The sequence below is a fragment of the Homo sapiens genome, chromosome 22 (genome assembly GCF_000001405.40).
Source record: "Homo sapiens chromosome 22, GRCh38.p14 Primary Assembly".
Taxonomy (NCBI): domain Eukaryota; kingdom Metazoa; phylum Chordata; class Mammalia; order Primates; family Hominidae; genus Homo; species Homo sapiens.
Genome location: NC_000022.11, coordinates 33,269,492 through 33,284,161, shown reverse-complemented (window position 1 = coordinate 33,284,161; position 14,670 = coordinate 33,269,492). Strand labels below are relative to the sequence as shown.

The window sequence follows — 14,670 nt, the reverse complement described above, 5'->3', positions numbered from 1 at the left end:
TTTGAAGCCTTCCTTCTGTGCCTGGCTGGCAGGAGCACACACTGAAAACATGTGGGAGGTTCTCCCAGCCCCTCAGTCTGGTCTGCCCTCTGTTTATTCTCCAGGAAGACCAAGTTCTCTGTCTCGGGGACAGCAGATCCCATTCCACTCTGGGTTCCCCAAGTGTTTAGCAACTTGCTTTGCCTCCCAGGGCTCCCCATCTTTCTTCTTTTCTTTTCCTTTTCTTTCTTTCCTTCTTTCTCTTTCTTTTCCTTCTTTTTTCTTTCTTTACTTTTTCTTTCTTTTCCTTCTTTTTTCTTTCTTTACTTTTTCTTTCTTTTCTTTTCTTTCCTTTCTTTTCTCTTCCTTTCTTTCTTTCTTTCTCTTTCTTCCCCCCACCTTTTTTTTGACAGAATCTATCTCTGTCACCCAGGCTGGAGTGCAATGGCGTAATCTCAGCTCATTGCAACCTCTGCCTCCCGGGCTCCAGCAATTGTCATGCCTCAGTCCCCCAAGTAGCTGGGACTACAGGTGTGTGCCACCATGCCCCACCAATTTGTTTGTATTTTTAGTGGAAACGGGGTTTCACCTTGTTGGCCAGGCTGGTCTCAAACTCCTGAACTCAAGTGATCCTCCTGCCTCGGCCTCTCAAAGGCTGGGATTACAGACGTGAGCCATCGCACCTGGCCCAGTTTCCCCATCTTTAATTGAGAGGATGACCTGAGCTTTCTTTCCCACACTTCCCCGGGCCAATGACCACCCCGCCCTCATGGGGGAAAGACCTTGGCCTGGTGTCACAGGGACTCTGTCTCTCTGCCTGTCCCCTCTTTTCAGGAAGTCTGTCATCCAGCTCGATCTTGCCAACACCAAGAAAGCAATGATTGTCCCCGCGTTCGAGACACTGCGCTACCGGCTGTCCTTCCCCAAGTCAAAAGCGGAGTTGCTGTCAATGCTGGACATGGGGACCCTCTTCACATTCAGGTGAGTGGCTCTAGCTGCTGTACTCTGGGGGTGCTCGAAGGCCTTCTTTCTCCTGGGAAACCCAGATGCCAAAGCTATCGATCTGGAAGTTTGTCGCTCGCCTTAGTCCATTGTGAGGCCAGGAAAGCACCGCTTTCTCCAGACAACGTCCTTGTAATCTCCCTCCTCTCCCCATGCCGGTACGTGCCATGTACTTTTTTGTGCATGGATGACAGACGTTATGTGTTCAGATGGAAGGGTAGGCATGTTTGGAGGGTGGAAGGGTAGGAAGGTTTAGCTTATTTCTGTTTGTCCTTTTTTCTAAACTCAGTTTAGGTTCCTGCTGCCATCTCCTGGCTCCGAGTTCTCCCTTTTGTGTGCTTGTCCATTCATTCGTCTGGTAGGTGGGTTTCATTCTATTAGCACCACTGTGGCAGTTTTCCTTTTTATTTGTGGTATGAGTGGTCTGTTCTTTGAGCCCCTGAGGCCTGGGGGACGTGTAGCCGTTGTGTCAACAACTTCAAGTCATCAAGGTGACCCAGCACATGTGGCAGCCAGCTTTCCTGTTGCCCAAGTGACAGTCGCAAACAGAACCCTGATTTTCCTTTTTTCCCAGGCCCCCGAGTCCTGCAGGAACATTGCAAGGGAGCTCCCCTGTCACCTGTCCCCAGTGTCCCAGGAGTCTGTGCCACCGCACAGGAGCAAACAGGTTCCATGTCCTGGGGACAGGCTGCAGCATTACATGTAGTGATCCAGGGGAAAGTAGGTGGCCTGCTAGGTGCCGTAACTGAGCAGTCTAAAGAGAGGGCTGGTACGTCTGCCTGCTCCAGGTGTTTGCTTGTGTTTGTTTGTTTGTTTGTTTTGTTTGTTTGTTTTTGAGACAGAGCTTCGCTTTTATTGCCCAGGCTGGAGTGCAATGGCGTGGTCTCGGCTCACTGCGACCTCCGCCTCCTGGGTTCAAGCAATTCTCCTGCCTCAGTCACCTGAGTAGCTGGGATTACAGGCATGTGCCACCATGCCCGGCAAATTTTGTATTTTTTAGTAGAGACGGGGTTTCTCCATATTGGTCAGGCTGGTCTCGAACTCCTGACCTCAGGTGATCCACCTGCCTTGGCCTCCCAAAGTGCTGGGATTACAGGCCTAAGCCACTGCGCCTGGCCCTGCTCCAGTGTTAAAGTGAGGCCACCCTTGTGAATGATGTCAGAATGGCCAACACTTCCTGGAAGCTAAAAAGCATACGTTTCTAGACCATCGGAATTTTACTGAAAACATTATAGTCTTAATAACTTGGGTTTTCCTACCACAATTAAGTTTCTAGAAATTTCTAGCAAGTTTCCTCAAATAAACTTTATCTTGTGAAAATAACTTTATGAGGTGGGTTGTTCGTTCAACAGTTCAGAGGCTATCATTTTTCACATTTTATACAGATGAAGAAACTGAGGAGTGGAGAGGTCCCAGTAGAGCCAAGACTCAAACTCCAGGCTTCTTCCTCTATCCAGAATTCTGGAAAGTGGCCTGGAAGAGTTAGTAACCCCCCACCCAACCCAAGCCTTCCTTCTTTTCTGAAAGAAATAACTACCACTTATTGTGTGCTTAGCATGTGCCAGGCACCGTGATTACATATTTAATTCTCACAATAAACCTATGTGACAGATACTATCATCCCCATTGCATGGATAATGAAACTGAGGCTCTGAGAAGTTTAATAACTTGCCCAATGACACACAGCCAGTAAATAGCAGAGCCTGGATTCGTACCAGGTCTGAGGAACCTGTGTTCTCAGTCAGAATGCCATCCAGCTACTGATTGAGTCCTGAATTTTTTTTTTTTTAACCAGTGTTTAAAGATGCAGAGTAAAAACTTGCTCCTCAGAATTGAGACTTTCAAACCAAACCTTAATATAAGTCTCCCATGAATGCCATAGTCTGATGGCTGAGCACCTGACACATTTCCAAGGCATCCTTCCTGCCGTCTTCATACCACAGTGAACCGAGAACTCATTTCACAGCCACATTTGTGGCCACAAGAGCTGGGGTGTGGCCTGCTGTGTCCGTGATTGCTGCTCTGGCCAGCAGCTTGCCAGCCATCATGCCAAGTGCTAAGTTACAGCCCTTGTCTCCGAGAAATTGCTATTGTCACCTGCTCTCCAAATAACAAACTCTTCAGCCTCTGAGCAGCCGAAATCTGCTCCCTACCACACCTGGAATGAGAAAACATCCACACCCCTACAAGTCCTCTAGGGCGGTGGCTCCAGAATGCGGTCCCTGGACCAGTGGCTTCAGCATCACTTAGGAACTTGTTAGAAATGCAGAGGCTCAAGCCTAGCCCAGACCTCCTGCATCAGAAACTCTGGAATTGGAACCAGTCTTCCAGATAATTCTAATGCATACTCAAGTTTGAGAACCACTGCTTAAAGCAAAGTGCCCCAAATCTCTTCTCCCCAGTAGCATCCTGTAAGGTGTACCTAGGAAACCTCTCTCATCTTCCCATCCCTTTTTTAGCAGGGAAGGAGGCTACCTGGCATTTGGCAATAGGTCATTCACAGGCTGGGGCTTGTTTTAACGAGAGGTTCATTGTAACTTGACTGCACCCTGTGCTGCCCAGCCTTTCTGCAAGCTGCCAGTGTCCAGGCTAAACTGATCAAAGCTGCCTCCTCAGCCAGATGACTAGAACTGACCCAGCTGTCCCTACAATGGAGTGCAATGGCGCCGTCTCCCCCATTGTTTTCCCTTCCTTTTCACATTATAATTTTCTGAGAGTTTAGATTCTAAAGGTGGATGACCAATAACATGGCTGTCAATATCACTGAGAGCAAGACCACCAGGAATTGACATCATATCTGGGAAGCAAACAAGGAGAAATAATAAAGAGAATTTTCTCTTTCTCTTTTTTTTTTTTTTTTTTTTTGAGGAGTTACCATATATCAGAAACTACTCTGAGTACTGTATGTGAATTAAGTCACATAATCATCATAAATCTATGAAGTAGATATTGCTGTGTCCGTTTTGCCAAGAGAAGGAAACAAAGGTGCCAAGTAGTTAATGTACCCATACCTGTTGAATGACAGAATTGGAACCCAGGCAGGCAGCCTCCAGAACCATTGCTTTTAACCACTTTGTTATAAAACTAGCATTTATTGAATTCCTCTTAGATGTCAATACTGCGCCAGACTCTTTATATTTTCTCACTTAAGCTCTTTGGCAGTTCAACCAGATAGGTATTCTTTTCCCCAGTTGACACAAAAGGAAATTAACGGCTAATTAAAGCATTTTGTTCTGCAAGGCATTCAGCTCCTAAGTGGCAGAGGTGGGATTTGAACCCTGGCCTGATGGCTCCATTGTGCTTTAAAACCTCATACAAGTTCACGGCCATCAGCTGTGCTGTGCCAGTTCTGTTGAAGGCATCAGGTGTTAAGACTGCCCATTCAGCAAGTTCACAAATGGAAAAGCAACTGCTTCTGGGCCTAATTGTTGGATCATGCCCGAAATTGACATCTCCCGCAATATCCCTTTTCCACACTCCATGAAAATGGCATTGCTTCACCTTTCATTTTTCTTCCATTTAAGTGGCTTTGGTTTTGATGGAAGTTGCTGTGTTGATGGAGCTGAAGTTCAAGTTCCTGCCCTCCCCTAGCCTGGCTGTCTCACCCAACAGCACAACTTGATCAAAGCCCACCCATTGGCCAGTGCCCATTCAGCTGCACTGGCCAGTTCCCTGAGGGTTTGGGGGGAGTCCAGCCTCAGTGGTAGAAAAGCAAAAGAAGGAAGCAGTTGCATTCCCTGCCAGAAAGTGTCCCATTGGCCACACGGAACACTCAGTCTCACTTAGCGCCTCCCTTGCTTTGGAGAGACTGCCCACAGGATGAGATGGAACCCAGACTTCCACTTCCTCTCTCCCTGCAGCTATGCTCTTGGGTTCCCACCCTTCTGTCTTGTTTTCATTTCATGAAGCTTTTCTTTCCAGCTCTGGATACTCTTCCTAACTCTTCTCTTGGGCCCTGTCTAGTCCTTCACTAGATGCCCAGCTTCCTGCCGTCTCTCTGTAGCTTCTAGAGGCATATTGCCATCTCACACATGGACCTGTCTCAGGTGCCTCTCATGTTGTTAGGTTACTCATTCATTCATTCAGTTTAGTGCACAATTGTTGAGTACTCGTTCAACAGGCCAGGAAGTGTGGGGGACAGGGACATATAAGAGAGGTGACCCAGCCGGCCGTGGTGGCTCATGCCTGTAATCCCAGCACTGTGGGAGGCCAAGACGGGCGGATCATGAGGTCAAGAGATGGAGACCATCCTGGCCAACATGGTGAAACCCCGTGTCTACTAAAAATACAAAAATTAGCCAGGCGTGGTGATGCGTGCCTGTAGTCCTAGCCACTTGGGAGGCTGAGGCAGGAGAATCGCTTGAACCGGGGAGGCAGAGGTTGCAGTGAGCCAAGATCGTGCCACTGCACTCCAGCCTGGAGACAGAGCGAGACTCCATCCCAAAAAATAAAAAAATAAAAAAAGAGAGGTGAAGTGCTTAAGGAGGCTCCTGGCCTTTGAGCAAGGCTTCCCGGGTTTGAATCACAACTCCACCACTGACTACTTGTACTTTGACATTTGGTAAGTTATAAGAATTTAAAACAATATCTGCGTGTGTGTGTGTGTGTGTGTGTGTGTGTGTGTGTGAGAGAGAGAGATTTAAAATAGTCCCAGTACACAGTAAGTGGTTAACTAATATTAGCTGCTTCTTATTGTGGTTATATGATTGTATTCATTTGCTACTACTGTATAACAAATTACCACAAACATAGCAGCTTGAAACAAATTTGTGATCTCACAGTCTCTAGGGATCAGAGATTCAGGCATGGAATGACTGGATTCTCTGCTTGGGATCTCACTGGGCTGAAATCAAGGAGTCAGCAGACCTGCATTTCTCCTCTTCCCAGATCACTGGTGGTTAGCAGAATTTCTCTCCTTTCGTTCCTAGGCCTAAGGTCCCATTTTCCTGCTGGCTTTTGGCCAGGGACTGCTCTCCTAGAGTCTAGTTAATTTGCCACATGGCCCCCATAGGCAGCTCCCAACATAGCTCCTTGCTTTCTTCCAGACCCAGGTCTAAAGGGTCACATGATTCAATCATCTCCCATTTTCACACAAAGTAAAGTGGTGAGTAACCTTATTTATATCTAGAACAATCCCTTCTGCCATATAATGTACCATAATCCCAGGAGTGATCACATACATACTCACAGGTTCTGCCTCAAGGGGAGAGCATTGGACAGGGTGAGAGTCATGGGGGACCGTCTGATACTCCTACCACAGTCTGGCAGCAATCACTACACAAGCTCACCTGCAGTCAATTCCTGAGAAATGACATGGAGCCCTCCAGGAGTTCCTTTTCATAGTGAGAATCTCCTCGTTAGTGAAATGTGCAGATAGCAGATGGGATTAGGGTTTCCTGCAGCTGCTGCAGCAAAATACTACAAACTGGATGGCTTAACATAATAGAAATTTATTCTCTCACAATTCTGGAGGCCGGAAGTCCAAGATCAAGCTGTCAGCAGGTCCATGCTTCTTCCCTGAGGTCCTAGGCCTCCGTCTGGTGATTGCCAGCAGTGTTTAGCAATCTTTGATTTATAGATGCACCCGTCATCCAATCTCTCCCAATGTCTATACATGGTATTCTTGCTGTGTGTCTCTGTGTCTAAATTTTCCCCTTCTTATAAGGACAACAAATATTGGATTAGTGCCACCCCAATCCACTGTGATCTCATGATAACCTCATTATATCTGCAAAGATCCTGATTCCAAATAGGTCCCATTCACAGGTACTGGGGGTTAGGACTTCAACATAGCTTTTGGGAGGGAGACAGTTCAACTCACCCGAGGACTACATCAGTGTACACCCCTTCTTCCTCCACATCGGCTGCATTTGGAGAGCTTGGCTTCCTTCCCTACACCCAATGGCTTTTCTCCGTGTGTCTCAGGTACCACGTCTGGACGAAAGGCCACGCACCCACAAACTTCGCCAAGTGGCGGACCGCCACCACGCCTTACCGGGTTGAGTGGGAGGCCGATTTTGAGCCGTATGTTGTTGTGAGACGTGACTGCCCGGAGTACGACCGGAGGTTTGTAGGCTTTGGCTGGAACAAAGTGGCTCATATCATGGAGCTGGATGTGCAGGTGAGAAGAACGGAGCATCCACCTGGTATGGTCGACGGGGGAGAGGCCTAGATCCTAGAGCTTAAGGGATCCTTGGAGACAAGAAAGCAGAGAGCTAAGAGGGAACAAGATATGCTTGAGGACCAGTGGTAGTACTGATCCTTGGGCTCTTGATCCCAAACCATTGCTCCTTCCTCAACCCTTGGGTGAGAGTTGGGTTCTTGGCCAGGACCCAGGTAAATGTGAGTTTCCTGTGACAAACCATTTCATCTTCTCATCCTCACCCAACCTGATGATGAAGACAAGCAAATGTGACCATTCATCACTTGGTCTTTGAGTCACGTAACAGACACGAAGCATCCTTAGAGTTCCATATACATGACAAAGCATGCTGCTAAGATGCAGCTAGTTATTCCACCCTTTACTAAAAGATTAATAGATGCATCCATCATTACTAAAAGAGTGGCGACTTTGAGACTGTGTTTAATCACGAACTCCTTCATTCATCCAACTGATACGTATTGAGCTCCTACTTCAAAGTATGAATCTTCTACAGAATTCTAGTAGGTGAAACCAAGGATCAGCACACATTTTCTGTAAAGGACCAGATAGTAAGTGTTTTGAGCTTCATGGGACCTACAGGTCTCCTTTTCAACTACTTAACTCTGCTATTGTAGTTCAGTCTTACAGTCTTTAAACAAATGGGTGTGGCTGTTTCAATAAAACTTTGTGTACAAAAACATGAAATGGACCAGACATGCTTCAATTTTTCAGCCCCTGTGTTAAACAAACAAAAGCAAAACTGCTCTGGTTAAATTAGAAGAAGGATTCCTCGGTCCCTCCAGCCTTTTTTTTTTTTTCTTTTCTTTTCTTTTGTATGCTCTTCTCCAAGATCTCTCCTCCTGGTGCACAGTGCAAATATTTTTCAACAAGAGCACCTCCAATTCAGAAAAAGCTAAGGTTGGATACTGAGCGCTGGCCGTTCATGAGAATCACCAGGAGAACTTTCCTTCCAATAGTTCCAATATGTTTGAGAACAGCCCCAGGTGATTGAGAGGCGTTAGGGTTGAGAACACTGATGTAGATAGGTTATAGAATCATGTCCATATTTAACAACAGAAAGCAGGGCTGTCAGTATCCATATTTTTTATAATACTTTGAATGAGCAGAGTGCCACTCACAGACAACAGTGTTCAGTCAGCCTCAGCTTCTGCTTAAAAGGAATGTCATGTTCATGTGTCCAGCAGTGCTGTGAGATGAACTAGTTCAAAGAAAGTTAATTTTTCTAGCCATGAGACCTGGGCTTTGTTTGTTTTGGACAGTTTTGACAGAATTCTTGAAAATACGTTGCATATTTTCTTTTTTTTCTTTGCGAATAGCATGTCCCAGACATACTCTTAACCTTTTCCAGTACCTTAAGGAAATAATGAGTGCACACCTGCCAGGTATTAACACCCACACCCATGGGGCTAGTGCGGTTGGTGGGGTTCTTTGTCCCTCCATTAAATGTCCCAGACAGTTCAGCTCTGGGAGATCTTGCATTTTCTTTTGATGGTTTTTCTCACTCATTCCTCACCAGCAACTGTCTTTTCTTGCTGCTGTTGTATTGTTCTACCTAAAACAGCCGCCTTTCCCCATCCCAGTTATCCCTGAGTTTATTCTTATCTGCTCTGAGCTGGGAAACTAGATAACAAAAGCTTGTCAGACAATATGTCCAAAATGAGAGTAAATAGATCTGAGTAAAAGTGTGCTGAGTTCTCCTCTAAGCGATATGACCTAAATCTGGGTCACCTGTTTTGGCTATTCAGAGGCCTTTTATTTTTGGCCTGAGTATTAAGCTGTATTCTGCCAAGTTGAGAATACTGGGTGACAGTGTGACCTGCGATAAAGATGTGTCAGGGAGAGGTTTGTTCTTGGTGAGCTTAGGTCCAGCAAAATACTTGTTTTTATTTCATCTGGTCTCTCATTCCTGTTTTGTACCCTCTTTTGCACTCATCTGTTGAGACTGTCAGATCGCATCAAGTCCTATGAGGAATCATAAACAGATGTCAGTTAATCGAGCAAGAGAATATCCCATGGCGTGTGTCATCCTAGACTGTCCATGTGGGTGTGAGCTCACATCTATTTATCAAGAAACCTTTTCTAGGCCATGAGCTCGGCTCAGCACTGTTTATACAGTATTGGCTTCTCCGTCATGGTCATCATTCAAGAATATTATTACTTTCACCTTATAGATGAGAACATGAAGGCTCAGAGAAGCCAGTTTCCTGGTCCAAGGTCATGGAAACAGCCCTGAATTACCCCACTCCAAAGCTGTTGTGCTGTCCTTTGCCATCTGCTTGTGGGTGCCATTATCAAGTCATTCATTCACTAGCCATTCAATCATTCGCTTGGGCCTTCATCATGCATGACCCTCGGCTCTTGCGGGTTCTCACGCTGCTCTTGTCTTCTTCCAGGAGTATGAGTTCATTGTGCTGCCCAACGCCTACATGATCCACATGCCTCATGCCCCCAGCTTCGACATTACCAAGTTCCGTTCCAACAAGCAATACCGCATCTGTCTCAAAACCCTCAAGGAAGAGTTTCAGCAGGACATGTCCCGCCGCTACGGCTTTGCTGCCCTGAAATATCTCACAGCCGAGAACAACAGCTAGCACCAAGAAGCCCACCACTAGGGGGAGACATGCTGTAGGGGAAGTGCCACTCGCTGTTTGGGGCCCGGCCTTCAAATTCAAAATTGAGCCATGCTTTTTCGGTTTGTTTTTATTTATCTCTTTGGCCCAGCCAAGCTGCCCTCACTACAGAGACCTTGGACAAGGATCCAGCCAGTCCCTCTCTGCCCCACAACCCTGCATTCCCAGAGGTTAGCTATGCAGCCCACCTAGATGAGTCTCTTCAAGAATGGGAAATCAAGGGGTGACAGGGAGTAAAAGGGTTATCATCTTACTGCAAAGCCACAAGATCAGGGCAGGGCTTTAGGATGTTCTGGATGCTTTTTAATAATTATGCTTCCCATCATAACTGGGGAGAAAGGGAAGTCAGGGTTCTAGGGGTTATTCGTCCCAGGAAATAGAAGTGAAATTGTCTTTATTAAGTGAAAACTTTCCCCTTTGCCCTGCAATGTAGCTGGGCATTCAAACGGAGGGCAAACCGATGATCTAAACCAACCACTTGGAAAAACCCAATGGGGACATTGTAACCAGAGGGTCCTGGAGGTGGGGTTGATGGGTTTCCTTATCCCCAAAGTCACTCCTGTTTTGTTTTGTTTTTCTTTGGGGGTTTTGTTTATTTTTGGGGCTGGCAATCCAAAATAGAAAATCTGATCCTTTGAGGCTCTAAAGGAAAATCAGCTGCCTCTACCAACCACCCTCTATCAGCAGTGGCCCAGGAAGGAGGTCAAGCATCTTCGGCCGATATTTAAACATGGGCAGCTTCCTTCAGGATGATCACCGAGGCTCCCGTGACTTTGAACTCCCTACTCTCCAGAATCCAGGGGCTATAGCGATGGGGACTGCGGAATTACGAGGGCTGGCTGTTTTACACCGGTCACATTTTCTATTGGCAGTGACTGATTCATGGGAAAGGGCTTTGAAGGAACTACTTCAGTGCACACACAAGGTACGAACCTCTCAGGCCTTTCGAAGAACTTTCATAATTCATGAAAGCCCAGTTCTGAAGATTCACGTATCCATCTGGAGACCTACAGGAAGAAAGTGATTGGGTTCCTCTGGTTCTTGCCTGCTTCACTGTGGATGGGAAGAGGTGACAACCTCAGTCTCCCTTTGGGACCTGTCCAAGGGTAGGCAACCACCTTCACCTTCACACAGATTGAGGAGACACTGGACTTTTTACCCATTTTCTTTAATCTTCAATATTAATATTGTGTTTACATTGATGAGAACAAGAGTTAATGCCCTACCCTCTGCTGGGCTGTTTGTATTGAGTTGCAATGTGACCAGCGAAAGCTGCATTTAATAAATGAAAGTACAGACTGTTTCTTCCCCATTCCCCTCCCACTCTTGCAGGAAGCTACTGAGACACACCTTGACATAGAGAGCTAAATTGCAGTGGATAAACAGCAACTTCACACTTTCTGTTCCCCCATTCTATTTTTCTCATCATTTGAACTTTAGCCTTTTTTTTCCCCTTTTGCCTGAAGTTAGATCCCACTCTGTCTCTAACTCAAACCATCTTCAAGTTTTCCATTCCGCATCTTTCTCAACACTGGAGCCAGATGTTGTCTTCTACCAGATGTGGGCTAGGAGGGTAAATCCTGGTAATCAATTGTAAAGGGAACATCCCATCCTTGGGCCTGGTAGTCATGTGGGACCCTATAGCAATCCGGTTTGTGAGATCACTCACGATGTTACATGCTCAAGTGGATGTTACACGGAAATTTATACAAGAATTAGGAAAATTACCATTAGGACTAATTTTTGCATAGATCTAGCTAGGCTTATGTATGTATGTAAATATATATGTAGACAGAGCATACAAGTATATAGCCTATATACAAAGCATTTATAAATAAAAAGTGACATATATGTATAAAGCAGAACAAAAATTTTGAAAGTACATGTCAAAGTCCAATTTGTTCAGTGGTGTGCCAGGCCAGCTTCTACATGCTCACAAGGCCTTTTTGGGCATATTTCCAGTTTCCACGTTCAGTGATTCCTCTGTCCCCATCCCCAAGAGCTAGTTGTTAAATATTTACCAGCAGCATATCATTGACTTTCTCTCTCCCCTGTGTACACACAAGCACACACAGACAGATACACAGATACAGAGGCACTCACTAATTTCTCCTCCTTCCCTAGAGAGGACCACTGTTAGGAGATGTACACATACCGATACAGGTTTTGAATTAATCATTACCAGCTACTTGAGCCAAGTGAAAACCTGATGGTAGCACTGGTTCCTCAATGTTAAAAATCCATTTTTAATTCCCTAAAGCCTTTTTATTTTTAAAATTTTGCTTGGCCCCTGACTCATGCCCAGCCACCTTGCTTTCACTTGCATTTTTATGGGCGTAGCTGGTGACCATGTAATTTGTCATCTAAATCGGGTCACTTCTGAGAATGAAAGGTGCTAATTATTTTTACACAATAGGCATAAACTAGAAGATGATGTACCTTCACGTACAGTGAATTTATTAAGGCCAGAAACTGATACTTCACACCAACAGGAGAAAATCCTATTTCCCCAAAGACAGGTGCCTTACACTGTAAGCCAATCTCACTGAAGGCTGGAGCTCAGACATTGGCGGATGCCCAACTTCAACAGAGAGGCTGCCAACCCAATGGAGGCTGAGGTCCGCAGAGCCAGCAGCCTGCATTCCCAGAACTTACACTGGGAGCAGCAGTTCACTGCCAGCCCCAGCTTATGTGTGGGGAGCTGTAGCCATTTGGGCAGAGGTAATTGCAAAAGATGTTGATTTCTTTGCATCAATTCCCTGGGGGGTAAAACAGGCCTTTAAATGTGTCACACAGATGTTTTCATGCTTAAATAAGCCAATACTAATCTTGGCTTTCAGTTGAGAGGAAGGACAAGGTTCCCTCATTTGGTCCCCTTAACAGTCAGTGTGGAGGGGAACTGAGATGTTTTCAGTAACCACTATGTGCAGAAGCCTTTGGCAGGCATGAGTTCACCGAACCCTTGGAGCAAAACTGCAAAGTGGATATTAACATTTCTACTTGGGGAACCTGAATGCATTCTGTGTAATTAAGTAACTCCTCCAAATTCACATGGTTAATATATGGCAGACCTAGAATTTAAATCAAATCCTACTTCTTTGAATCCAAAGGCACATAACCTGCAATGCTACTTCCTTTCCCAATAAGAAGGAAACAGATATGAAACAGTGACAGACAAGAGAATTTGAACCTATGTAGGAAGATTCTTGGATTTCTAGTCTTCTTCCTTCAACATCCATCCAATAACACACACAGTCCAGACAGCAATCTCCTAAAATATGCCAAATCTTGCTATGCTCATGGACTTCCTGAAAATTAATTTGAAATAGACCTGGGTGATCTATAATCATATTCAGACAGCTGGGTTCCACTCTAGGGGATAGTAATTGATTCTCTGAATGCTTCTCCTGGGTTGTTTCTTAGATTACATGGCTCAGGTAGAGACACTAAGTTTTAAGCTCTCCCTTGTACCCTGACTTAGCATGCTGCTTCAGAGTGATCTCTCTGAATGTGTTGAGCTGATTTACAGAGCACATATTTGCTGAGTTGACTAATAGCCTCTTTGTGCCCCATCATGAAAGGACAGACCCTACTTTAATTCTGTTCCTTTCAAAGACTCTACTGTCTTTGAGTTAAGGCTTCATTTGTGGTCACCAGGCCTTTAGGGAGCTCTGTGTTAGTGAAAGAAATGTGATTCAAATCCCCTCTCAGACACAGCTCCTTCACACTCTTGGTAGAGATAATAAGAACTACCCTTTATTGAACCAAGACTTCTATGGTAGTTGGCAATGATGGATCCTCACAGCTATGTTATAAAATAAGGGAGGTATTATTATCCCCATTATTTAGCTAATAAAACTAGCTCCCAGAGAAATTAATGTGACTTGCCCAAGACCACACAGGCTGCTAATGGAATGCCAGAATTTGAACCAAAATCTGGCTGGCTTCAAAAACCCCTGTCTTTCCACTAAAATGTGCTACTGCCTTCCCATACAATACTGAAATCAGCTTAGCTGCGAGGCTTGTACAGTCGTATCTTCATGTACTTCATATACTTCGTTTTCCTCATTTTTTTTAACCCTAAGGGTTTATTATTCAGCTTAGTGCCATTCAAGTTTATGAAATGTCACTTATCTGCCATATGCATTCTAAGAGGTTTCAGACCCATAGGATCTAATGTCGGATATACCATGATCTTTGTTTCCATTCATTTAACAAAACTCCTTTTAAGAAGTGTCCTTTAATTTCAAGAAATAACTGGTGATATCCAAAAGGAGGTAATGGGGGTGCCACAAAAATGTGGGGTTTCTGACTGTGAATATTTAATGGATTTGGTCATTGGTTTGTTGTAACACATTCGTATAGTCTTTTTTTTTTTTTTTTGAGACAGAGTCTTGCTCTGTCACCCAGGCTGGAGTGTAGTGGCGCGATCTCGGCTCACTGCAAGCTCTGCTTCCCAGGTTCACACCATTCTCCTGCCTCAGCCTCCCGAGTAGCTGGGACTACAGGCGCCCGCCACCACGCCCACCTAATTTTTTGTATTTTTAGTAGAGACAGGGTTTCACCGTTTTAGCCAGGATGGTCTCGATCTCCTGACCTCATGATCCGCCCACCTCGGCCTCCCAAAGTGCTGGGATTACAGGCGTGAGCCACCGGTGGCTCAGGTTAATATAGTCTTAAGAGATAATGTCTTCTGGAATGAAAAAATGTCAGGCAGTTCTGGGAAAGTGTTTCCCAAGGTGTCGTACCAAGGCCATCTGATCAATGAGGCCAGGACAATGTCATGAAATGATTGACAGGGCTCACTGAGAGCAAAGCTTTGACAGATTCCTGGGTAAGTGGTGCTGAAGAAAGAAAATAAGGGCTCTAGTGACATCAGTAATTTCACTGCACTTT

The 14,670-nt window shown here is 45.3% G+C and overlaps 1 protein-coding gene across 24 annotated transcripts in view; it reads left to right on the top strand.

The window, feature by feature from the left end:
• Positions 1 to 14,670, top strand: part of LARGE1 (LARGE xylosyl- and glucuronyltransferase 1) — an 856,162-nt gene that overhangs the window by 638,663 nt on the left and 202,829 nt on the right. For 16 of the 24 annotated variants that reach the window (NM_001362953.2, NM_001362949.2, NM_001362951.2 and 13 more), the window contains 3 exons: positions 814 to 960; positions 6,907 to 7,102; positions 9,538 to 11,653. In NM_001362953.2, coding sequence (NP_001349882.1) covers positions 814 to 960; positions 6,907 to 7,102; positions 9,538 to 9,735 — 541 coding nt within the window. In that variant the 3' untranslated portion in view covers positions 9,736 to 11,653. Of the gene's footprint in view, positions 1 to 813; positions 961 to 6,906; positions 7,103 to 9,537; positions 11,654 to 14,670 lie in introns of those variants that run through there. The other 8 variants (XR_007067993.1, XR_002958722.2, XR_007067994.1 and 5 more) reach the window with 2 other exon arrangements.